Source organism: Homo sapiens, chromosome 3 (genome assembly GCF_000001405.40).
Source record: "Homo sapiens chromosome 3, GRCh38.p14 Primary Assembly".
NCBI classification, from domain to species: Eukaryota; Metazoa; Chordata; class Mammalia; order Primates; family Hominidae; genus Homo; species Homo sapiens.
The window spans coordinates 195792092-195815446 of NC_000003.12; the positions used below are offsets into that span (position 1 = coordinate 195792092).

Here is a 23355-nt window from a genome sequence, read left to right on the forward strand (position 1 = left end):
TGAAATCTCCAAAAGCACTTGCAACAAAAGCTAAAATTGACAAATGGGATCTAATTAAACTAAAGAGCTCTGCACAGCAAAAGAAACTATCATCAGAGCAAACAGGCAACCTACAAAATGAGAAAATTTTTGCAATCTAACCATCTGACAGAGGTCTAATATCCAGAATTTACAAGGAACTTAAATTTACAAGAAAAAAATAAACAACCCCATCAAAAAGCAGGCAAAGGATATGAACAGACACTTATCAAAAGAAGACATTTATGCCACCAACAAACATATGAAAAAAGGCTCATCATCATGGATCATTAGAGAAATGCAAATCAAAACTACAAAGGGATATCATCTCACACCACTCAGAATGGCAATTATTAAAAAGTCAAGAAACAGCAGATGCTGGCAAGGCTGTGGTGAAATAGGAACGCTTTTACACTGTTGGTGGGAGTGTAAATCAGTTCAACCATTGTGGAAGACAGTGTGGCGATTCCTCAAGGATCTAGAACCAGAAATACCATTTGACCCAGCAATCCCATTACTGGGTATATGCCCAAAGGAATATAAATCATTCTGTTATAAAGATACATGCACACGTATGTTTACTGCAGCACTATTTACAATAGTAAAGACATGAAACCAACCCAAATGTCCATCAGTGATAGACTGGATAAAGAAAATGTGGTACATATGCAGCACGGAATACTATGCAGCCATGAAAAAGGAATGGGATCACGTCCTTTGCAGGTACATGGATGAAGCTGAAAGCCATCATCCTCAACAAACTAACAGGGGAACAGAAAACCAAACACTGCATGTTTTCACTCATAAGTTGGAGTTGAACAATGAGAACACATGGACACAGAGAGGGGAACAACACACACTGGCGCCTGTCAGGGACGGGACAAGGGGAGGAAGAGCGTCAGGATAAATAGCTAATACATGCAGGTGATGGGTTGATAGGTGCAGTAAACCACCATGGCACATATATACCTGTGTAACAAACCTGCACGTTCTGCACATGTATCCTGAAACTTAAAGTAAAAATGAAAAGAAATAAAAAGAAAAAATGAAAAATTAATATATCACAACTGTACATATTTGGGGGATAAAAAAATAATAAGAGATGGGGCCGGGCATGGTAGCCCCACCTGCAATCCCAGCACTTTGGGAGGCTGAGATGGGTGGATCACTTGAGGTCAGGAGTGCGAGACCAGCCTGGGCAATATGGCAAAACCCCGTCTCTACTAGAAAAAAAAATACAGAAATAGCTGGGCGTGGTGGTGGGTGCCTGTAATCCCAGTTACTCAAAAGGCTGAGGCAGGAGAATTGCTTGAACCCAGGAGGTGGAGGTTGCAGTGAGCAGACATCATGCCACTTCACTGCAGCCTGGGCGACAGAGCAAGATTCTGTCTCAAAAAAAAAATAAATAAATAAAATAAAAAAGGAGAGAGAGATGGGGGTGCAGGATTCCCACAGAGGAAGGCCCCTGATAAGCACTGCTTCAAATCGCCTAGAAAAAGCACAGTTGCAGGAATATAGCCAATGGTCTTCTCCAGCTCCCGCCTGTCTTCCTTGTGAGGAGGAAGGTGAGGTTAGACTAGAATGGTGAATTAACTGTGTTAAACTCCATGGGAAGAGGCAAACAGTACCCCTGCTATAAGCCGGGTTAACTCTCTCAACTTGAATTATAGCATTATCTTTCTTAAAAATAAATTAAATTTCTACTTTTCTTTTTCGTTGTTAACATCTGTGCCAATCTGGTAAAAAACCCAAGGGGTAAATGCATATACTCTTGCCCTGGTCACAGACTACCAAGAAGCTAATATTATTGACCATAACCACTTTTTAAAAAAAAATTATTTCCCAGGCAGAGGCCAGGCATGGTGGCTCATGTCTGTAATCCCAGCATTTTGGGAGGCCAAGGTGGGAGGATCACTCGAGGCCAGGAGTTTGAGACCAGCCTGGGCAAGATAGCGAGACCCTGTGTCTTAAAAAATAAAAATAATAATAATAATAATAAAAATAGATATTAAATAAATAAAGAAAAATATTTCCCAGGCAGAATGTTTAAATATTGGCTTTTTTTGTTTAAAATATTTCACAGCACCTGCACTAGCCACATACCATCTTCGTGAATATTACCTTAGCCTCTGAGTCTCTGAACCAAGAAGAAACCAAGAAAACTTGCCTTTTTTTTTCTCTTAGAAACTGACTCTTTTGGGTTTTCATTAGTTCCCTAGCTGTTCTCAAACTTCTTTCTTTTTTCTTTTTAAACATATATATATAGAGAGAGAGAGAGAGAGAAGAAAGAGAGAGAGAGAGAAAGAAAGAGAGAGAGAGAAAGAGAGACAGGGTCTTCTGTCACCCAGGCTGAAGTTCAGCGGTGTAATTGGCCTTCTGAGTAGCTGGGACTACAGGCACACACAACCATGCCTGGGTAATTTTTTTATTTCTGTAGAGGTGGAATCTTGCTATGTTGCCTAGGCTGGTGTCGAACTCCCGGCCTCAAGCGATCCTCCTGCTTCAGACTCTCAAAGTACTGGGATTAAAGGTGTGAGCCACCGCTCCCACCCTTTTTTTCAACCTCAGTGCTCCTAGATAGTTGGCAAGATGATACTCAGAGAGACAAAGTCTCAGGGAAGAATTCAGCTTCAAGTCCACTTTCTGGAATTGACTGTAATTCGCCACCTTCTCTTCTTCAGACAGTAACTTAGACTCTCAAGTGAGTGATAATGGTTATGAACCAGCTCTAATTGTTAAAAAAGTGACTCACGTGCAAGCTTCTGCACTTCATTAATAGTAACTGCTTACTGGTGACACACTTGTAAACCGACGTGGACAAAGGCACGGGCTGAACCGCAGAGCCCTCTGGGAGGTCCCTGGGCCCCTGGCTTAATCCAAAATGACTCCACTTCAACTTTAAACGGAAACTTCCTTTAGTTGGAATTAGGTTGAGATTTGTTGATAGGACTCTAAACTCGATGCCTGCTTTCTCCTAGAGAAAATTTGCAAAACTTGGTTTCTCCAAATAAGGTTTAAATTTAAAAACATTCTCTATGCAGTTATTTTTAACCTTATTTCATTTCCCTGATAACATAATTAAGAGCATTTGTCTATCATCAGGCTTTGAGTAGACAGGAGCTATCTAGGGGCCAAACTTTCTGAATGTGTAAATTCTTGGCAATTAACATCTTTTCAGAGCCTGCATCACCTCTGCTAAAATCAGTGTCAGCAGCAGAAGTTTCATGACAGCACCGTCCTTTTTTTTAAAGTAAAGATTTTTGTAGTTCTTTATAAAAGTGGCACAGCTCCATTTCAGCAATATGGAAGAAGAGATAAGCCTCTAATAGCAAAACCAGCCAATGCCAGATAAATACAGGTTATAAATGTAATAAATGTTTTCTAATGCAGAGGTGAGATGAGAAGAAAGAAAGGGAAACACTCAGGAGTGAAGAAGTTAACAACTAAGATGGTGAGTCAATGCCCTTGGAAATGTGCTGACTGAAAGGCTGAAAAAGGAAAGGAAGCAAGACCCTCGGTCACGACACTGAACTGAGTTTCCCTGCAAAAAGCTGGAACCGCCAGCAAAAAAGGTAGACTAGAAAGACCAGGAAGAAAAAAGAAAAAGGAAGCAGAATGAAGGATATAGTAACAGACCAGAACTCACTATAGAAACAATTAAAAATGGAATAAATGAAGCCAAAGATTAGTTCTTTGAAAATAAAACAAATACCTGGCAAGAGAAAGAAAGTGGGGGAGGGGGGTGGGAGGAGGGAGAGAGAGAGACAGAAAAGACACAGATATCAAGATTATTAGAAACAAAAAAGGGTACATAACTTCAGAAAAAAAATTTAAGAGACAGTGCTCTGATGAATTTATACCAAAAAGTATGAAAACTTAGATAAATTGGATATACTGTCCTTAAAAATATAATTTATCAAAAATGAATTAAGAAAAAAACCTGGCTAAAAACTATTTTATTTTATTTATTTAATTTTATTTATTTATTTTTTTGAAACAGAGTCTTGCTTTGTTGCCCAGGCTGGAGTGCAATGGCATGATCTCAGCTCACTGCAACCTCTGCCTCCCAGGTTCAAGATTCTCCTGCTTCAGCCTCCCAAGTAGCTGGGATTACAGGCGCATGCCACCACGCCCGGCTAATTTTTGTATTTTTAGTAGAGACTGGGTTTCACCATGTCGTCCTGGCTGGTCTCAAACTCCTGACCTCAGGTGATCTACCCACCTCGGCATCCCAAAGTGCTGGGATTACAGGCATGAGCCACCTCGCCCGGCCACTATAAACTATTTTAAATTGAATCAGCAGTTTAAAAAATATAATCTAGGCCGGGTGCGGTGGCTCACGCCTGTAATCCTAACACGTTGGGAGGGTGAGGCAGGCGGATCATGAGGTCAGGAGATTGAGACCATCCTGGCTAACACGGTGAAAAAAAAATTAGCTGGGCATGGTGGCAGGCGCCTGTAGTCCCAGCTACTCTGGAGGCTGAGGCAGGAGAACGGCGTGAACCTGGGAGGCAGAGGTTGCAGTGAGCGGAGATCATGCCATTGCACTCCAGCCTGGGTGACAAGGTGAGACTCCGTCTCAAAAAAAAATATGTATATATAATCTATCCACCCCACAAAAAAATGCAGGCTAAGATGAGTTTACAGGCAAATCAGACATTCAAGGAACAGGTAATTTCAATTCTATACAAACATATTCAGAGTTTGGAACAGGAGGAAATGATCTACTAATAATTTTATAAGGTTGGAAACCAAAGATAGGATAAGAAAGACAAACTATAGATTAATAAGTCCCAGTAATAATACATGGAAGCATCGTAAATAAAATATTAGCAAGCCAAAGTGCATCATGGCCGGGCGCGGCGGCTCACGCCTGTAACCCCAACACTTTGGCAGGCCGAGGCAGGCGGATCACTTGAGGCCGGGAGTTCCAGACCAGCCTGGCCAACCTAGAGAAACCCCGTCTCTGGTAAAAATACAAAAAATTTGTATTTTTTTGGATTACAGGTGTGTGCTGGGCTTGGTGGCACACACCTGTAATCCCAGCTACTCAGGAGGCTGAGGCACGAGAATTGCTTGAACCCAGGAGGCAGAGATTGCAGTGAGCCGAGATTGTGCCACTGCACTCCAGCCTGGTGACAGAGCAGGACTCTATCTTAAATAAATAAATAAATAAATAAATATTTTAAAAGTACATCATGATCAAGCTGAGTTTAAATCAGAAATGCAAGATAAAGACAATGCTTTCTTAATGTAAATCACCATATAAACAGAACGGAGGGGAGACACAATCACCACAGCAGATACAGGAAAGTTATTTGATAAAAGTCAACACTTACTCCTGTTAAAACTCCTAGCAAACTAAAAAGAGACGTTAACTCTTTTAACCTGATAAACAATGTCAATTATAACCCCGTGTAAACATTATACTTAAAACAATAGAAACGTTTCTGTAAAATCAGGAATAAAAACAAGATGCCAACAATCACTGCTTCTAATCAACATTAGGTTGAAGGTTTTAGCTGGTGAAATAAGACGAGAAAATTAAACAAAAAGTATGAGAGTACAGAAATGTGATTTTGGGTATGGAAGGGATGAAACAAGCCTATGGTTATTTGCAGATAACATAATTGTTTACATAGAAACTTCCCAAACATATACATTATTAGCAAAGTTCTATATCCATAATCAAAATTTTAAAAATAATTGCATTCCAGCTGGGTGTGGTGATTCATGCCTGAATCCCAGTGCTTTGAGAGGCTGAGGCAGGAGGAACACTTGAGGCCAGGAGTTCAAGACCAGCCTGGGTAACATAGCAAGATCCTGTCTCTACAGAAATAAAAAATAAAAAAATAAAAAATTAGCTGGGCATAGTAGCACACACATATAGTTCCAGCTACTCAGAAGTTGAGGGGGGAGGATCACTTGAGCCCAAGAGTTCGAGGCTGCAGTGAGCTATGATCACCCCACTGTACTCCAGCCTGCATGACAGAGGGAGACTCTGTCTCAAAAAGAGATTTAAAAACAAAATAAAACTGCATTCCTATATATCAGTGAAAGAGAAAATATTTTTAAGACTATAGTGTTTATGATGGTGACCAAAAAAAGTACATAAAAATAAATCTAACAAAAGATGTGCTTAATCTTTATGGACAAAATTGTACAACTGCATTGAAATATGCCAAAGAAAACACACATACTGGTTACGTGCATTTGGGAACATTTATAGTTGAAAGATCAAAACCCATAATCTTGCTACCAGACAATGCTTCCTTCCAGGATGTTTTTATGCTTTAAAAAATATATAGTTTAGGCCAGGCGTGGTGGCTCACACCTGTAATCCCAGCGCTTTGTGAGGCTGAGGTGGGCGGATCATGAGGTCAGGAGATCGAGACCATCCTGGCTAACAGGGTGAACCCCCGTCTCTACTAAAAATACAAAAAAATTAGCCGGGCGTGGTGGCGGGCGCCTGTAGTCCCAGCTACTCGGGAGGCTGAGGCAGGAGAATGGCGTGAACCCGGGAGGCGGAGCTTGCAGTGAGCCGAGATTGCACCACTGCACTCCTGCCTGGGTGACAGAGTGAGACTCCGTCTCAAAAAAAAAATTAAAAATTAAAAAATATATATGTATAGTTTAACTTATTCAGTATACATAATTTTGTATCCTGCCTTTTTAGCCATACCTGATATGAGCATTTCTTCAAGATACTAGCTTCGTAAACATAGCCTGAGAAGACGCACATCTTTTATGTCTTGGATGGCAGTTCCTTGCTTCCCCCTTTTGGAGTCCTACAAGAGCTGGCTCAGGGGGACTGGGAGAGCTCAGCTCCATAGTAAAATCTAGGGTGCTGTATAAAAACTCCCCCTGCTGAGCTCTGGTGGCCTCCTTCCTAACAAAGCCACTCCCCCAACTGGAAGCGTTGTTACCCTTCCCATTTTCTGTTAAACAGGAGCAGGTCTCTCTCCTGTACCACATCCTGCTGTGTGTCCACCATACCCACCTCTCTGTGCAATGAGAGCTCGGGGGTCATGTGGACTCCACTGCTCCCTGCTCGCAATTTCTCCTTAATACATCTTACTTTATGCCCGTTCTGTGTGTTGCTAGTATGTATGTGTGACACTGTGTGTGTGTGTGTGTGTGTGTGTGTGTGTGACACTGTGTGTGTGTGTCCCTGCCCTTATGGAACATTGGACATAGCCTTTAAACATTTTTTTTTCCAGATGGAGTTTCACTCTTGTTGCCCAGGCTGGAGTGCAACGGCACGATTTCGGCCCACTGCAACCTCCACCTCCGTGATTCTCCTGCTTCAGCCTCCCAAGTAGCTGGGATTACAGGCATGTGCCACCATGCCAGGCTAATTTTTTGTATTTTTAGTGGAGACTGGGTTTCACCATGTTGGCCAGGCTGGTCTCAAACTCTTGACCTCAGGTGATCCACTCACCTCAGCCTCCCAAAGTGCTGGGATTACAGGCGTGAGCCACCGCGCCCGGCCTAAACACTAAATAATAAGCCATCATAGAGAAAGCTCATATTGTTAACTTACTGTTGGACAATTAGGATATTTCCAATGTATTGCTTATTTTAAATAAAGCCCTGATGACTATCTTCGTGTCTAATGTTTTGTTTACATTATTTCAGCTCATCTCCTTAACATAAATTTCTATCAGTGGAATTGCTGGTTTATGCCGTTATAAAATTTTTCATGTTATTAATACAGACTGCCAAATTTCTTTGCAGAAAGCTTATGCCAATTTACAGACCTGTTGGCAGTGTGCAAGAGTGTGCCTGTTTCCCCATATCCCTAGCCTGTGAACAAAGGGGCATGATCCAGGACAGGCCCCATCCCTCACCTGCTGCTCTTTGCTTCACAGCATCGACTGAAAATCGGCCAGGTGCGGTGCCTCACACCTGTAATCCCAGCACTTTGGGAGGTCGAAGCGGGTGGATCATTTGAGGTCAGGAGTTCAAGACCAGCCTGGCCAACATGATGAAACCCCATCTCTACTAAAAATACAAAAATTACCCAGGCATGGTGGCGTGCACCTGTAATCCCAGCTACTCAGGAGGCTGAGGCAGGAGAATCTCTCAAACCTGGGAGGTGGAGGTTGCAGTGAGCCGAGATCGCGCCACTGCACTCCAGCCTGGGCGACAGAGCGGGACTCCATCTCAAAAAAAAAAAAAATTCTTGCTAAACAGGGCTGTGTCCTGGTAGTCCTCCTTTTAAATCTTTATTTAGAGAACTTGCTCATCTTGAGCCAAGTTGATTAGAGTTTCCTGCTGCCGCAAATAGGAGGGCAAGTGAGTCACTGCATGTGGAGGACATAGTTTTATTGTCTAGGGGAGAAGGCGCTGTCAAAATCTCTCAATCTGTTGGGCTTGTGAGGAGGAAGAGATTAGCATTCGTTACGACAAAACTACAGTTATTGCATTTGTCTTTCACCATCATTTAAACAATACCTCTGAAGCCACTCCTGCAATAGATTGATTATTCAGCTGTTTAGGAAAACAATTTGCAGATAACTCAATCTACTAAGCTTGAGTAGGTTATTTGTAGGTAAGAAATCCTGTGTTCAAGTATGACCTATCTTTACAAAGAAGAAAAAGAAAGAAATCCTAGTGGATGGAGAGACTATGGAGAATGATTTTTGGTAAGAAAATGGTTCTCAGCTGGGCATGGTAGCTCATGCCTAAAATCCCAGCACGGACAGGCAGAGGCGGGAGGATTCCTTGAGGCCAGGAGTTTGAGACCAGCCTGGGCAATAGCTCAAGACCCCTTCTCTGAAAAAAAAAAAAAAAAAAAAAGTGGTTCTCAAAAGGCAGAGGGTGCATCAGCATTTTAACACATGTCCAGAGTGATTCTGATGCAGGTGGTCCGTGGACCCCACGTTCAGAAACACTTCCCTTAAAATAAAATGATAGTATCCACTCTTAACAATGTTTGTAAGCCAAAACCATCTCGCTGAAGTTGTCAGGCAGAGAAATTTGAAGCCTTGATCAAGTTTTATTCTAAAAAATACTCATAGCCTTGTTCTTGCTGCTCAAGTGTTGGCCAGAATGAACTGACCTTGGCTCTCACCAGGATGCAAGTCAGGCCCTTCAGGTTCCGTCAGATTGTCAGACAACTGAAACTTGTTCTCACTCTGGCCAAACGCATAAACTTGGGGAGCAGAGAGCTGGGAGATTTGCGCCTAAAGAGTTGATATTGGAGAGAAACAGGTCTCTCCTCTCTCTTCTCTCCCCGTGACCCTCCATTTTCTACTTCACTGAAAGAACCAAAGCCGTGCCCTTCATCTCCTTCAATGCCCAGAGCCTTCTCCGCACCCTCCCCGGGGCCCCGGGGCTCCCTCCTGCCCGGATGGCTCACTGCTCTGCCTCTGTGTCTCCGACGTTCTTTCTGCCTTTCTCCTTCTCTCCTGCCTGTGAGCATGTTCAGGTGTCTGTTGGCCTAAAACAAGTCTGTCATCCGTCTGTGTCCTCCTCGTCCCTCCAGCAGCATGAAAGCCGGGCTTCCCCTGCCGCCTCTTCTTTACCACGCACTGCTCGCTCTGCCCCCACCTCACTCACTTCGCTCAAGCCGTTTTCCTCAGAGCTACCAGAATCTCCTTCCCAACAGCAAAAACGATTTTCTCCAGTCCTCACGCGTCTCATCAGTTCGGCCCCATCCATTCATTCATTCATGAATCTGACAGATGTGTATTGCGCCCCCCCCTCCACGTGCTCTCCCTGGCCGGCGGCCCCGTGCCACCACCCAGCCTCACCCTCATTGAAGCTGACGGGTCCTGCTCCACCGTCCACGCTCCCGGGCCCTCCACTCCACTCCCCTTGCCACCTCTCTCCCCCGCTCCACGCCCAGATGACATGTCTCCAGCCCTTTCCCTCTCCTGCTGCCCCTCCCTCTCTGGCCACCCTGCGTCTACTCTCACGCCTTACAAATCTGTACTTCTCCCTGACTTCCCACCCATATGCTGGCCTCACCCTCCCAGGGATTTCCTGCCTAGCTCATGCAATGCAACAGGTCCAGGTCAATCTTTCCTTGCAAGCTTTCTTCCTTCCTTCTGTTCATGCTAACAACAGTCCCCCAGACATCCAGCCCAGAAAGCTGTGGGTCCTCTGGATTTCTTTCTCTTCCTTGTCCCCTGTGTCCTAGTCAGTACTCGTTGATCTTCCTCCCAAGTGTTCACCCCATCGCGTCCTCTTGTTTGCTTTGCCACATCCTCCCCGTCGCTTTGACTACTGCGGCAGCCTCCTCACTGCCCCTGCTGACTCGGGTTCCGCACCCCTGCTCTCAGCCTCCACCGCACCCCTGTGGGTTGATCCTCAGCTCTGAGGGCCAGGAGGGAGGGTTGCTGCTGCTGTCTCCTTAGCTCGAATTGCTTTGGAAAATGGCCTGCCCTGCCTGCCCTGGAAGGTGTCTGGTAGGTCCTGGGGTCACAGACTGGTGACTGGCATTGGTCCTGGGTGTCTGCGTAGGTCCCGGGGGCGTGGGTCTAGTGGTCAGAGACTGGTGACTGGCATTGCCATTGTGACACGGATGTCAGAAACCAGAATCCTCAGAGGGAGGCCACTGGGCAAGAATGACCTTCGTCTGGTTGTGACTGAGGAAAGATACTTCCAGCGCGTCTGTGTGCGTGGCAGGGTGGCTTCTGTAATAAGAAATGGCCACGCCAAGGGATTTCTCGTTTCTGCGGGAGACATTGTTCAGTTTTGTAGCCGGCAGCTTAAATTCAAAATGCATTTTAAACATGTTTTCCCCTTTCTCTTGGGTTTCCAAATACAACCTTGAGGCAGCTGCAAAGGCCGTTTTCCTCAGCCTAAAAATAGACTTCACGCCCCTCCCTTTTCTCACGATCTGTACACACTCCCTCCCTCTTCTCACCGTCTGTACACACTCCCTCCCTTTTCTTGTCATCTGTATACACTCCCTCCCTTTTCTTACTGTCTGTATATACTCCCTTCCATTTCTCTGCGTGCGAGGATCGAATTATATGTCTTCCTAAAAGTTGCAGGGGCTAAAACCTTGAGAGAGACAAACCACATCTGAAAATCCAGCTGCAAAATCCCAGAAATTACTTCAAGACAGCTCTTGTTAAAATAATGTCAGCCAGAGGTCCGGACGGACTGGGACCCAGAAGAGCCACCAGAACAAGACATGCGGACACAGGACTCAGCCCGATTCTTGCGTGCCTTCCTTATCAAGGCTTTCCCCTCTGAAAATTAAAGCAGCTACTTTAAGTAGAAATCTGGCTGCTTCCCCTTTACTAGTTTTGGTTAATAAATTCACGTTCTTCCTACCAGACCTTATGAATTAAACTATCCGTTTAATATAATATAAACTCTCTGCAAGCAGCGAGAGCCTCCGCATCTGCGCTGGGTCGAGTGACTGAGGGTCAGCTGACTTGTGATGAACACACCAGGGAGGTGGGGCTTCTTTTTACTTCTCTCGTAGGCACGTTATGACTCTATGAATAATACAAATGTTCACAGCTCATGTTCATGTGGTGCTTTATAGCTTATCTTGTTAATAGCGGCCCCATTTCACAGGCGGGGAAATCGAGATTCAGCGGCCCCATTTCACAGGCAGGGAAATTGAGATTTGAAGAGACCGAGTGATATTATATGCCTTGGAAGTAGCAGGGCCGGGGGCTCGGGGTAAGAGCCATTGCTCGGAAGCTGCGAGCTGCTCAGCTCTGGGACTGCCACCGAGTGGATGGAGAGCTGAGGCAAAGATGGAGAAATGGTCACTGACCTGCCCCAAGTTCTTGGACTGCCACATGCAGAGGGCTCTGAGCCTGAGGCCGAGCCAGGCACATTCTCGGGGTGGACGCTGTGACACTGGGGTGTTTTTGCAATGTTCCTGGTGTCTCTTTTCTGGGATGATGTTAGAGTGAGTGTGAAGGCTGTTGACACCTTAAGGTGACAAGATCACTGTGAGAAGACACACGTGTGTCATTGAGTAAAACGGATAGTTTTTAAGACATTCTCTCAGAGGAAGAGTCTCCATCCAGGGACGAGGAGGGCACTGGCGTTGGCACTGAGGTAGAGACGTTCCCCACATCTGAGTCCTTGAAGGCTCTGTCAAGCCTCTGCCATCACGTCAGCCAGAGATCTCCCATCAAGGTAGTTCTTTTCTCTCCTTGAACCACGTCAGGTGGGAGACGGCCCACAGCTGCCTCACGTCTGTTAGGGCTCCAGGATGTGAAGGCCGAGTGGCAGTAGGCATCGTTTTCCCCAGATGGCCCCTCTGGTGACTCCACAGGTGTGCCGAGGTGACAGGTGTGCTGTTGGCTCGGGAGAAGGAGTGGCAGCAGTATGAGTGACGCTGGCAGAAGACAGATTCCAAGAAGGGTGAAGCCACTCCCTGAAGACACACAAAGCCTGCGGCTTTCTAAGTGCTGTGGGTTGAGGCTTATTCCTAGCATCTGGTCTGTTTGTCTTGGGTTTTTCCTGGAACTGGAGGTGAGGAACCCGTAAGCCGTATCGCCACAGTGTTTCACTTTCCTGGAGGGGAATTACTTCCTGACGGGTGGGGCCCCTTGCCAGGCTGCCTCGGGCAGGGCAGTGTAAGCCCAAGGGAAGTGCCCAACGGTAAGGATGGCCTTGAGGAGAACATTCAGCCCCACACAGGCAGCAGGCGGCCCGGAAGGCGCGCAGACGCTGAACCGCTGGCCCCACCGCCTTTGGCAGGGAGCTAATGCTATTTGTGTATCAGCCCAGAATCAACTGTGACCAGGGTTGTGTCCACTGGGTACTTCCCTAGAATTCAAGATGAGGAAAGACACTAACTCAAGATACCCTTGGAATAACAGACCTCTTGTGATCTCCAGCGCCTGAAACGAGACTTGGCATACAGCAGTGACTTCGTACACATCTGTGGAATACATCCCAGGCCCTGTGGCCTTTGTTGCCTTCAGCCGAGGCTGGAGAGAGGGTGACGTTGCCTGTTTCTTTATCTTTATCTTTTTTTTTTTTGAGATGGAGTCTCGCTCTGTCGCCCAGGCAGGAGTGCAGTGGTGCGATCTCAGCTCACTGTAACCTCCACCTCCCAGGTTCAAGTCCCTTCACAGTGGACTCCAAGGCGAGAACTTTACCCGTTCTTTCCAACGATCCCCGCCGAAGTCACACCCCAACCCATGGATCCCACCACCGGTCATTTGACCTCATTTCTGTCAGCATCTGGTGTGGCAGCACCCAGCCACTCTGGTGATCGCCACAGAAGCTCCAGCACCAAACCAAGAAGCACCAAAATCCGGCTGTGAGCACAGCACGCCGGCCAGCTCAACTCTCTTTTCCCCAACGCCTCCTTCTCGGAGGTGCCATCTCCAGTCTCCACCATCTTGGTGTTGCCACCCATCTCTCCTGGCTCCCACTGGGGCAGGCACATCCTCCTAGCCTAGCGCTGTCCTCAGGAGCCTGGCTGCCTCTCCACAGTGGTTAGCCTCGGGCTGTCCTGGTGTGGTGGTGTGTGCCTGTGATCCCAGTTGGAATCAAGTGCTTCTCCTGCCTCAGCCTCCTGAGTAGCTGGGATTACAGGTGCCCACCACCATCTCCTGCTAATTTTTGTATTTTTAGTAGAGACGGGGTTTTGCCATGTTGGCCAGTCTGGTCTCAAACTCCTGACCTCAAGTGATCTGCCCGCTTCAGCTTCCCAGAGTGCTGGGATGACAGCCATGAGTCACTGTGCCTGGCCTTGTCTGTCATTTCAATTACTCAAAATCCATAATCTGGGCCGGGCGCAGTGGCTCACACTGGTAATCCCAGCACTTTGGGAGGCCAAGGTAAGCAGATCACTTGAGGTCAGGAGTTCGAGACTAGCCTGACCAACATGGCAAAACCCCATTTCTACTAAAAATACAAAAATCAGCAGAGCATGGTGGCATGTGCCTGTGATCCCAGCTACTCGGGGGGCTGAGGCACGAGAATCCCTTGAACCCTGGAGGCAGAGGTTGCAGTGAGCCGAGATAACGCCACAGCACTTCAGCCTGGGTGACACAGTGAGACTCTGTCTCAAAAATATAAATAAATAAAATAACATAAAATTCATAATCTATTCCACAGCTTGCAAAGCCCTGCGCGATCTAACACCTGCCTTCTCTTTCAAGTCCTCCAAGGGGCCAAGCTCTTTCCTGCCTCTCCATGAGCTCCGCCTCTGCCTGCTCAGGCCTGGCACCTTCTCCACCTGGCTGTCCTCAGCCTCAGGCCTCAGCTCCCCGCAGAACGGTTCCTCACAGGGCCCTTCCTGACTTGTCAGTCAGATGCACCTCCCCTACTCTCTGGCCATTCGAAATGCAGCTCTCAGCACACCCTGTACTTTTCCACACTGCATTTACCACATGTGCAGTTGAGAACATTTCCGTAATTATTTGATGTCTGTCTGCACCAAGATTTTAGTGCCAAGAGACTGGGCCACGTCTGTTTCACTCTTCACTGTGTGCATCCAGTGCTGTGTCCTAGAACAATGTCAGGAACTTAAGGCAGGCGTTTCCTAAATGGTGGTTTAATTAACAAATGAATGAATGAATGGCTGTCTCAGCAGGGTGTGTGAATGCTTCTGTTCTTCCCTCCGTCGGTGGGCTGGGCTGGTTTGGAGATTGCCGAAAGGCTGTGTGCTGCAGTGAGTCAGGAGACCTGGGTTCTAGTCCCAGCTGCCTCACTTATGGGTTCTATGATCTTAAACAAGTCACTTAACTTAGAGAGCTTTGAAAAGCAGGAACTGTGACGCATTCATCTTCCTGTCCAGAGCAGCTGGCATGAGTAGAAATTCTGCAAGTGAATGAACAACTCCAAAGTCTAGGCTGTTTCTTATTCCAAATTCCCCCAAAATCCACTGGCCACTGGACTTTTGGAACCTAAACTGCAACCTGGGCGGGGCGGCATCTCTACAGAGAGTCGATGTCTGTCCTCTGTGGTCCCTAAACACATACACGGGGAGTGGAGCTGCGGGCAACCCAGGCCAGTGCCCTTCCTCCAAGCAGGGCCGCCATTGCAAGGCCTCACGTGCAACACAAATGCCCAGTTCCTGAGACTTCTTCAGAGTCTCCAGGAAAAGGGTGAAAAGGCATTTAAACCTCTATGAAGTAGGGCCAGGCACAGTAGCTCACGCCTATAATCCCAGCACTTTGGGAGCCGAGGCGAGCGGATCACCTGAGGTCAGGAGTTCGAGACCAGCCTGGCCAACATGGTGAAACCCCATCTCTACTAAAAATACAAACATTAGCCGCTGTGGTGTTGGGCGTCTATAATCCCAGCTACTCGGGAGGCTGAGGCAGGAGAATCTCTTGAACCCGGGAGGCAGAGGCTGCACTGAGCTGAGACCACGCCACTGCACTGCAGCCTGGGGGACAGAGAGAAACTCTGTCTCAAAAAACAAACAAACAAACCCAAAAAACCAACAACAACAGCAACAATAAAAAAACCGTCTATGAAGAAATCGTCGATGAGGTGCCAACAGACTCAGTTATTTTGACTCAATTTCTCAGAACATGCTGGGGCGGGAACTCAGCCTAGCAGTAAGAAAGACGTATATTTAAGGTAAAAGGCTGAAACTAGGGGGAGAGAGAGCCTATAAGGTCTCTGTCCTGGCCTTCAGAGAAGTGGCTCTGTGAGCTACACGATGTGCATATTTTAAGCACTTAACAGCACCGTGAAATCAGAGAAAAGACACAGAGTAGCAAAACCACCCGTTGAGCGTACAAAAGGCCAACCACTTCTTGTCCTCTCATTGCCTCTTGTCCTTAGCAATGAAGACACAAATCACTTGCGTGTCAAGCACTGCCAGGCCAGCCTCTGCCAGGCCAGCCTCTGCCTCCACGGCTGAGCCCAGAAACCAAGGGCGTGGCGGGACTCACAGGCAGGGAGCGGTGAGGCAGAGCTGTCCGCTGGAGCGAGCCCCTGCTCTAGGGCCATGGCCCTCGGGGTCCGTTCATGCAGCAAGCCACATTCTGAATACACCAAGCCAGCCCTTGCAAACCCACAGGAAGCACGGGGTGGCTTTTTAGAGGCACGAGGATCCTTAGATGAAGGGATATGACCCTGGGCCGACACAAGTGCCATTCCGGGTTCAATCACCCTCCTTCCCCCGTCTTCCCAGGCCTCTTTCTCAAACACGTCTTTATGGCTTTTCTTTTTTTTTTAGACAGAGTCTTGCTCTGTCACCCAAGCTAGAGTGCTGCCATTTCGGCTCCCTGCAACCTCTGCCTCCCAGGTTCAAGCCATTCTCCTACCTCAGCCTCCCGAGTAGCTGGAATTACAGGCGCTCGCCACCACGCCCGGCAAAATTTTTTATTTTTAGTGGAGACAGGGTTGGCCAAGCTGGTCTTGAACTCCTGACCTCAGGTGATCCACCCGCCTGGGCCTCCAAAAGTGCTGGGATTACAGCGTGAGCCACCGCGCCCGGCCCTTTATGCCTTTTCTACTTTACACCAGATGCTGTCTCGTTTCATCCTCATGACAACCCTACGTAGTAGCCCCTTCCCCCTGGGCTCAGTTTGCCGATGAAGAGCCTAAGACTCCAGAGCCAAAAGGCGTTGCCTGTGTTCCCTGGGCTGCCAAGGGCGTCGCTGATGCTGGACCTCTGAGTTTCAGCCCCTGCTCTTCCCTGTGCACCTTGCTGGTCGTTGGCCAAAATTTGGCTGATGTTCCTGGCAGGACCTCTTGTCCAGGGATCCTTTCCTTTTGAGTGTCCTGGAGCACAGTGGGGTTTCCCAGAGGGGCAGAGGGGTCTGTGGAGAGTTTTGGTGTCCTCGGTGGCAAGTTGAGGTGGCCTGTCCCAGACTGACAGATAGACCGGGGGTTCTCCGAGGAGGGGCCCATAAAGACCCTTCCCCGTGGAGTGCGCTGTGGCCGGCGTCCCCTCCCCTGCCTGCCCTGCACTTGCTCCAGCCTGTCACCTCCCTGGGGTCACTGATAGTGCTGGAGACCAAGGCCTATTTCGACCCAGTTGCCTTTCCCTGTGGCATGGAACCAGGACGGCCAGGCTTCCTTCTGAGTCATTCCTGCCTGGGGCGACCAGTAGACACCAAATTTCCATCTGTCCTTGTCTAGCCCACCTCTGTCTGCTGTGCCTTATCCTTTAACCCTTGAGAGCCAGGGCTGTTCCTTAAGGAAACCCTCATTGCGGCAGCTCCTTTGTGGAAACCCTGTGTTTTTCCTCTGGCCTGGGCTTCAGTGTGACCCAGCCTGGGTGAGGGTCCTGCCGGCAAGTGTGCAAACAGACCCTAGACTCAAGTATAGGCAGGTCATCTGTAAACCCCTTCAGGGAGCCAAAAGGAACGGGGCTGGCTGGCTGCCAGTCCTCCAGCAGCTGCCCTGTGGGGGTGGGGGCTGCCCACCCGCCCTTGGTGACTGCTTTTCCTGCCAAGGCCCTGGTCATGCCCGGTCAGATGTGTGGGTGCCATCTCCCAGCCACGACCATCTCCTCTCCTGGCCCAGCTCCACTTGGTCCCCTTAGCGACGCAAAGGACTCAGCGCTCCACGACATGCCTAGCTTCTTCGGGTCGTCATGGAGACGCCCTTGCACACCAACAGTCCTTCACTCCTTCTCCGGGTCACGCCCCCGTGCTTTTCCACGCCCACCCCAGGTCTTGCCCCTCTGCGCTCCTCTCCACAGACCCCACTTCCTGGCTCCACATGGAGCTGAGTGTCCAGCTGGTACCCAGCACATTTGGGCTCAGCTTTAAATCACAGATTTGGAAACTCAAGAACTTGGGCGTCAGGAGGTCCAACCGTTCACCACTGCTTTTTACACAGGGGACCGGGGCCCTGGGGAGACACGGGGCAGGGCCTGGTCACAGGGGCCAGAACAGTTCACGGCAAAGACTTGGCCCTGGGGCTCCTAAATCCAAGCTGCCTCCCCGGCGCCCCAAGCCCCAGCCTCGCTCTGGGAGTCATGATTCCCGTGGAGACTCCTTCAACCACATCTGCAGGGCAGGGCCGTGTGGCGGCTCCTTCCGGCCTCCACGTCCTCACGGTGGGATGAGCACTGGAGCGGGGTTGTGTGGCCAGGGTGGGGTGGGGGTGCTGGAGGGTGGGGAGGTGTAGGGAGGTGGTGGCAGTTTCCTTTGCCCTCAGCCTAGTCCTGAAACATCCCGAGGTGGAAGGGTCCGCTTCACCAGCATGGCTTCTCTTGCAGCCTTTAAACGGCACTCGCCTTCTGACTCACTCCCAGGAAGCTCCTCAAATATGCGCCCAAGAAATATTTTCCCTCGGCGACTGTTCTTAGCCTGCTGAGAGGCAGGGCAGGAGCTGAGACTCTAACCCCAGCTTGAACTCTGGACCCCAGACTCTCCCCCAAAGACTCAGACACCCAGAAACACAGAATAAAACTTGGTCCTGAAGCCAGAGGGACAGCCTGGAAAGTGTGGGGAAGAGGACGGGGGCCCCCGAGGGAACATCTCCCACAGGCCTGGCATCCCTCCCCTCCCAGCTCTGTACACGGAGGAGCCCAAGGCCAATGCCGGGGCTACGAGCCCCAGGCAAGGCCGTGACCCAAATGGAGGCTTTTAAACCCGAGCTCAGAGGTAAGAAGCCCACGGCCAGCACCTCCCGGCCCTCTGCGCCCTGGCCGCCTCCTCCGCACCACCCTCCCGGCCGGCCTGCCCCTCTCCTCCTTGTCGCTTCCCTTGCTTGCTGCTGTCTCCCGATCTTCTCCTCTCTCCATTCCCAGGGTCCTCAGTTTGTCTGCGTCTCACCTGTCTCGTCCTCTCACCCTGCAGCTTTACATGAGTTTTCTTCCGTCTCCATCACCCAGCTTTCCTGGCATCCCCTCTACCCCCAGCTCTGTACACAAGGGTGTACATCTTTCTCCTTGACTCTGTTCCTCTTGCTCTGGCTCTGCCTGTCTTTCTCTCTGCGAGTAAGCCTGGGCTCTCACCATGGATCCTTCCAGACATCGCCGGGCTGCTCTCTGGCCCTCTGTTCTCTTTTCTCTCTCTTTCGAGCATTCTCCCTCTGTCTTTCCCCTCAGATCTTGTCCCGTATCTGCCAGTTCATGCCTCCTCTTCCCCACTTTTCTCCTCTTCTTATTTTTTATTTTATTTTATATTTATTTATTTATTTATTTATTTATTTATTTATTTATTTATTTTGAGACAGAGTCTCGCTCTCTCTCCCAGGCTGGAGTGCAGTGGCGCGATCTTGGCTCACTGCAACCTCCACCTCCCAGGTTCAAGTGATTCTCCTGCCTCAGACTCCTGAGTAGCTGGAATTACAGGTGGGGCCCACCACGACCGGCTAATTTTTGTATATTTAGTAGAGACGGGGTTTCACCATGTCGGCCAGGCTGGTCTCGAACTCCTGACCTCAGGTGATCTCCTGCCTTGGCCTCCGAAAGTGCTGGGATTACAGGCATGAGCCACCGCGCACGGCCTCCACTCTTCTTTCTCTCTCCCTCTTCTCTTCCTCTTCTTTCCCTCTCTGGGTCTCTCTCCACCTTCCCCCCATGTTGTCCCATTCATCTCTTTCTCCTTTCCCTCTCCCTCTTTTTCTCTCCCTTCTCTTCCTCTTCGCTGTCTCCCTTTCCCCTATTCTCTCTCTCTCTCTCTCTGTCTCCCCGGACCTCTTTCTCTGACAGCTCCCACCTCCCCCAAGTGCTCCCCGCAGCCAGCCTCATCTGCTGTCTCCATCACTTACCTGGGACCACATGCGGAAGGAGGCAGAGACACAGGCAGCTCAGGGACACCCAGGGGACCCTCCTCCAGCGTGCCCCCTTCATGGCTGCGGCAAAAGTCCCCCTGGCTCCCTGGGGAAGCTCCACGGCCCAGCAGCTGCAGTGTGAGGAGCAGACGTGAGCCCGTCCCCTCAGGCGGCTGGCCCGAACCAAGTGCGTTTCTCCGAAGGGGCCAGGGAACCTGGGAAGAGGACAAAAGAGGGCGGGGCCCCACGCTAATCACCCTTTTCTCTCCTCAGCCCCACCCCACTACCCCACCAGGAAAGAAAACACCGATACACCCGTTGCTCTGCTTCTCATCAGCCTGAGCTGAGTGGCGGGAGGGATGGGAGGAGACATGGGGGAATGGGAACAGGTCACACTGGAAATGGGTGGGCCACCCTCCTAGCCGGGTTCCTGGGTCCTCTCCTCCCTCCCCAGGGGCTGCCCCTGTCCCACCAGAGCTTTGGGCTGCTGGGAAGAATGGGGAAGAAAGGGCCCCAGAGGGAGCGACCTTGGGGCTGTATGAATGGGGGAAAGAGAGTGAGACTTAAGCAGACCCCAAGGAATTGGGAAGCGGGGAACCATGTGGGTGAGGGGCAGGAACAGAAATGCACTGTATGCCGTCTTTTGGAAAGGGGTGGTGTGCTTGGAATATCTGCTCAGTGCAGGCGCGTGGCAGACCCCAGACGCGTGGCAGACCCCAGACGCGTGGCAGACCCCAGACGCGTGGCAGAACCTCAGTGCAGATGCGTGGCAGACCCCAGACGCACGGCAGATCCCAGACACATGGCAGACCCCAGACCCATGGCAGACTCCAGACGCGTGGCAGACCCCAGACGCGTGGCAGACTCCAGACGCATGGCAGAACCTCAGTGCAGACTCGTGGCAGAACCTCAGTGCAGACGCATGGCAGACCCCAGATGCGTGGCAGACCCTCACCAGATGGTGGACTTCTTCTTTCCAGGGCAGGGAGCTGGAGCCAGGGTGCAGGGAGCCAGGGACAGTCTGGGAGACTGGCCTGAGGGAGCTGGCATGGGCAGTGGGTTGAAGGCAGAACCTCGGTAGGAGGAAGCGACTGTAACCTGTGAGGAGGTGGAGCTGCTCCTGGAGACCTGGGGGCTCTGCTCACCCCAGTTCCACCTCTTGGAACTCACAGGCACAAGCGAGGAGGGAAAGGGACCCCAAGTAGGGTTGTAAAGACGAAGAGGGCAGTTGGTGTAGCTCTCTGCAAAGGAAAACGGGGATACCTCCGCTCCCCTCTTTGCCACAGTGTGAATCTCTGCTTCTGATTCCTCAAGACTTGATTCCCGAATGTGGGGTGTCTGTGGGGTGACTCGTCCCAGAGCAGGGACCTTCGATGCTCAGACACTGTGGGGCCCAGGACAAGGACTCAGGGTTTCTGCATTCCCAAGCAGAGCCAGCCTTGTCCAGCAAGGAGTAGGCAACCGACGCTGTGGCGCTGTCTCCGAGGGTCACGGAGGCCCTGTGACCACTTGCTTCTAGAAGCTGAAAGTCTGTTCATGGCCCCAGGCCAAAGCCTGGGCCACGCCATAATAATGCGGATACCGTGGGGAAGTGGCGTGGTCCCCCAACAGTCCCTCCAGCTCTGGGTGGACGAGCTGACCCTGTTCTTTCCTGGAGGTAAGAAAATCATAAAGGTAAAGAGTCATGTGGAGCATCCTGTGGGCGCCTGGACGGGGCAGCAGGAGGGACCTACTGCAGGGAATTCGCAGACACCAAGGCCCAGCTTGGCCTTCGTGATCATTTTGCACTTTTTTTTTTTTTTGAGATGGAGTCTTGCTCTGTCGCCCAGGCTGGAGTGCAGTGGCACCATCTCAGCTCACTGCAAGCTCCGCCTCCCGGGTTCACGCCATTCCCCTGCCTCAGCCTCCCTAGTAGCTGGGACTACAGGCACCTGCCACCACGCCCGGCTAATTTTTTTTGTATTTTTAGTAGGGACGAGGTTTCACCATGTTGGCCAGGTTGGTCTCGAACCCCTGAACTCAGATGATCCGCCCGCCTTGGCCTCCCAAAGTGCTGGGATTACAGGCGTGAGCCACTGCACCCGGCCCGTGGTCATTTTTCTGTCAGCTCTTGCTCGTGGGTCCCCCCATTACCTTTCCACAGGTTTTGTTTGGTGACGCTTTCAGGACAACAGTTTTCCATCTCTAGAGGAGAAAGGAGCATCCAGGTGAGACCAAACTAAGCGCTGGACATCTTGTTGACCGAACACAGGTAGCTGACCTCTTTCCCATGCCAGGAAGGCCAGAGGCACACAGCGCTCTCCGGAAGCTGCTGTGACGGCCGAGACTCCAGGAGGGCGTTACAAACCTGGGCTTGATCCCAGCTCTGCCACCGCGTCACCACAAAGTCACAGCCTCTTCGAGCTGTTTTCCTCGTTCACCTGTAAAATGGGGATAACACCTATCTGAAAGGTTGTAGGGTGGGAGTGAGCCTGTAGATGCTGAGGGGCTGCGGGAGTATTAGGACACCTGTTGTGAGGACACCTGTTGTTACGACACCTGTTGTGAGGACACCTGTTGTGGAGGACACCTGTGGAGGAACGTGGCTCCTCCTTCCATCCGGGCATCATCCCTGGAGGGAGACACAAACGAGGGCCAGCCAGGATACAGGAGGAGTCCGGAAGTGAATTTCCAGGCCCAGGTCTTTCCTGCGTCCCCTTTGAGTCTTATAGGATCCTGATTAGGAGCGTGAGATCCTGGAGAACTGGGCGTGCGCACTCCTGTTCACCTCTTCCCTGCCCACGCCCGTTTCCCTTCTGCTTTCCAGCTCCCCTCAATATGCCCATTTTCCAGAGTTAGGATGTGTCTGGGTCTCTGTGATAAATGGCTCTGTCTTCATCTGGGTTGGGTCACGGGACACCCATTTGTCCTTCCTTCTCTCCTCCCAAGGCATCCGATGGGGACAGAATGGGGTGAATGAGAGGGGACAAAATGAGTGGCTTCTCTAGTTCCTTGTGGCCGAAAAACCTCCTAGGCCCGCATACTGCTGGGTCTGCATAGGGGCAGGAGTCTGAAGTCAGGTGTAAGTTAATATTCCACGGGAGGCAGGAAGAGCTTAGTGTGGATGTGGGGTGTAAGTAAATTGGAGCAAGGATAAGATCATGAGATTCTCCCAGACTTGGCTTGAAGAGACAGCTGGGTTTGAGGCAGCAAAGCCAGGATCTCCAAGAGAGATTCCCCTTCTAAGCTACCCAAGTAGGAGTCCCTAGTTTTTTGGGTCCCCTAAAATTGCTTACCTTTATATCATTTATGCCTCGTGCTGTGAATAAAGTTCAATCTTGTCAGACTTAGGACAACTAGGCTGATCTCGAGCAGGAAGCTGGATGTTTATTAAGTCTGATTTACCTACTCAGTCTGGACTAAAAAGGTGTGTGGATTCCCTAGTCAGTGACCCAGCATGAAGCCGGTCACTAGAGTGCCAGGCCCTGAGCCTGTCCCCATGGCCCTGTGAAGTACAAAGCGCTGCCCTACCTCTCAAGTGAGCACGCTGAGGCTCCAGGAGCTTCATCATCCCCGAGTCACCGGCCAGGTCGGGCCATCTAGGGAAACTGGAGAGTGTTAACTCCGCAGTTACAGCCTTCTGGGCCACACACTGTCCCAAAGCTGGAATTTGAGCTCTGTTCTGCCTGGCTCCAAAGCAAAAGAAGGGCAATCACCTGGGCTGACCGC

The 23355-nt window shown here is 50.0% G+C and overlaps 1 protein-coding gene across 3 annotated transcripts in view, besides 6 other annotated features; it reads right to left on the reverse strand.

Moving 5' to 3' along the window:
* Positions 1–19838, reverse strand: part of MUC4 (mucin 4, cell surface associated) — a 65159-nt gene extending 45321 nt beyond the window's left edge. For all 3 annotated transcript variants that reach the window (NM_138297.5, NM_004532.6, NM_018406.7), the window contains exon 1: positions 19645–19838. In NM_138297.5, coding sequence (NP_612154.2) covers positions 19645–19726 — 82 coding nt within the window. In that variant the 5' untranslated portion in view covers positions 19727–19838. The remainder of the gene's footprint in view (positions 1–19644) is intronic.
* Positions 14067–14361: a silencer, noted in NCBI's record as "tiled region #430; K562 Repressive DNase unmatched - State 8:EnhW". NCBI's record gives its function as "represses a minimal TATA promoter and a strong SV40 promoter by Sharpr-MPRA in K562 cells {active_cell/tissue: K562}" and the evidence as "EXISTENCE:reporter gene assay evidence [ECO:0000049][PMID:27701403]".
* Positions 14067–14714: a biological region, named in NCBI's record as "Sharpr-MPRA regulatory region 430".
* Positions 14151–14714: an enhancer, noted in NCBI's record as "OCT4-NANOG-H3K27ac-H3K4me1 hESC enhancer chr3:195533113-195533676 (GRCh37/hg19 assembly coordinates)". NCBI's record gives its function as "activates a minimal SCP1, AML or CMV promoter by ChIP-STARR-seq in naive and primed H9 embryonic stem cells {active_cell/tissue: H9 hESC(naive and primed)}" and the evidence as "EXISTENCE:reporter gene assay evidence [ECO:0000049][PMID:30033119]".
* Positions 14715–15278: an enhancer, noted in NCBI's record as "OCT4-NANOG-H3K27ac-H3K4me1 hESC enhancer chr3:195533677-195534240 (GRCh37/hg19 assembly coordinates)". NCBI's record gives its function as "activates a minimal SCP1, AML or CMV promoter by ChIP-STARR-seq in primed H9 embryonic stem cells {active_cell/tissue: H9 hESC(primed)}" and the evidence as "EXISTENCE:reporter gene assay evidence [ECO:0000049][PMID:30033119]".
* Positions 16971–17534: an enhancer, noted in NCBI's record as "H3K27ac-H3K4me1 hESC enhancer chr3:195535933-195536496 (GRCh37/hg19 assembly coordinates)". NCBI's record gives its function as "activates a minimal SCP1, AML or CMV promoter by ChIP-STARR-seq in naive H9 embryonic stem cells {active_cell/tissue: H9 hESC(naive)}" and the evidence as "EXISTENCE:reporter gene assay evidence [ECO:0000049][PMID:30033119]".
* Positions 17535–18098: an enhancer, noted in NCBI's record as "H3K27ac-H3K4me1 hESC enhancer chr3:195536497-195537060 (GRCh37/hg19 assembly coordinates)". NCBI's record gives its function as "activates a minimal SCP1, AML or CMV promoter by ChIP-STARR-seq in naive H9 embryonic stem cells {active_cell/tissue: H9 hESC(naive)}" and the evidence as "EXISTENCE:reporter gene assay evidence [ECO:0000049][PMID:30033119]".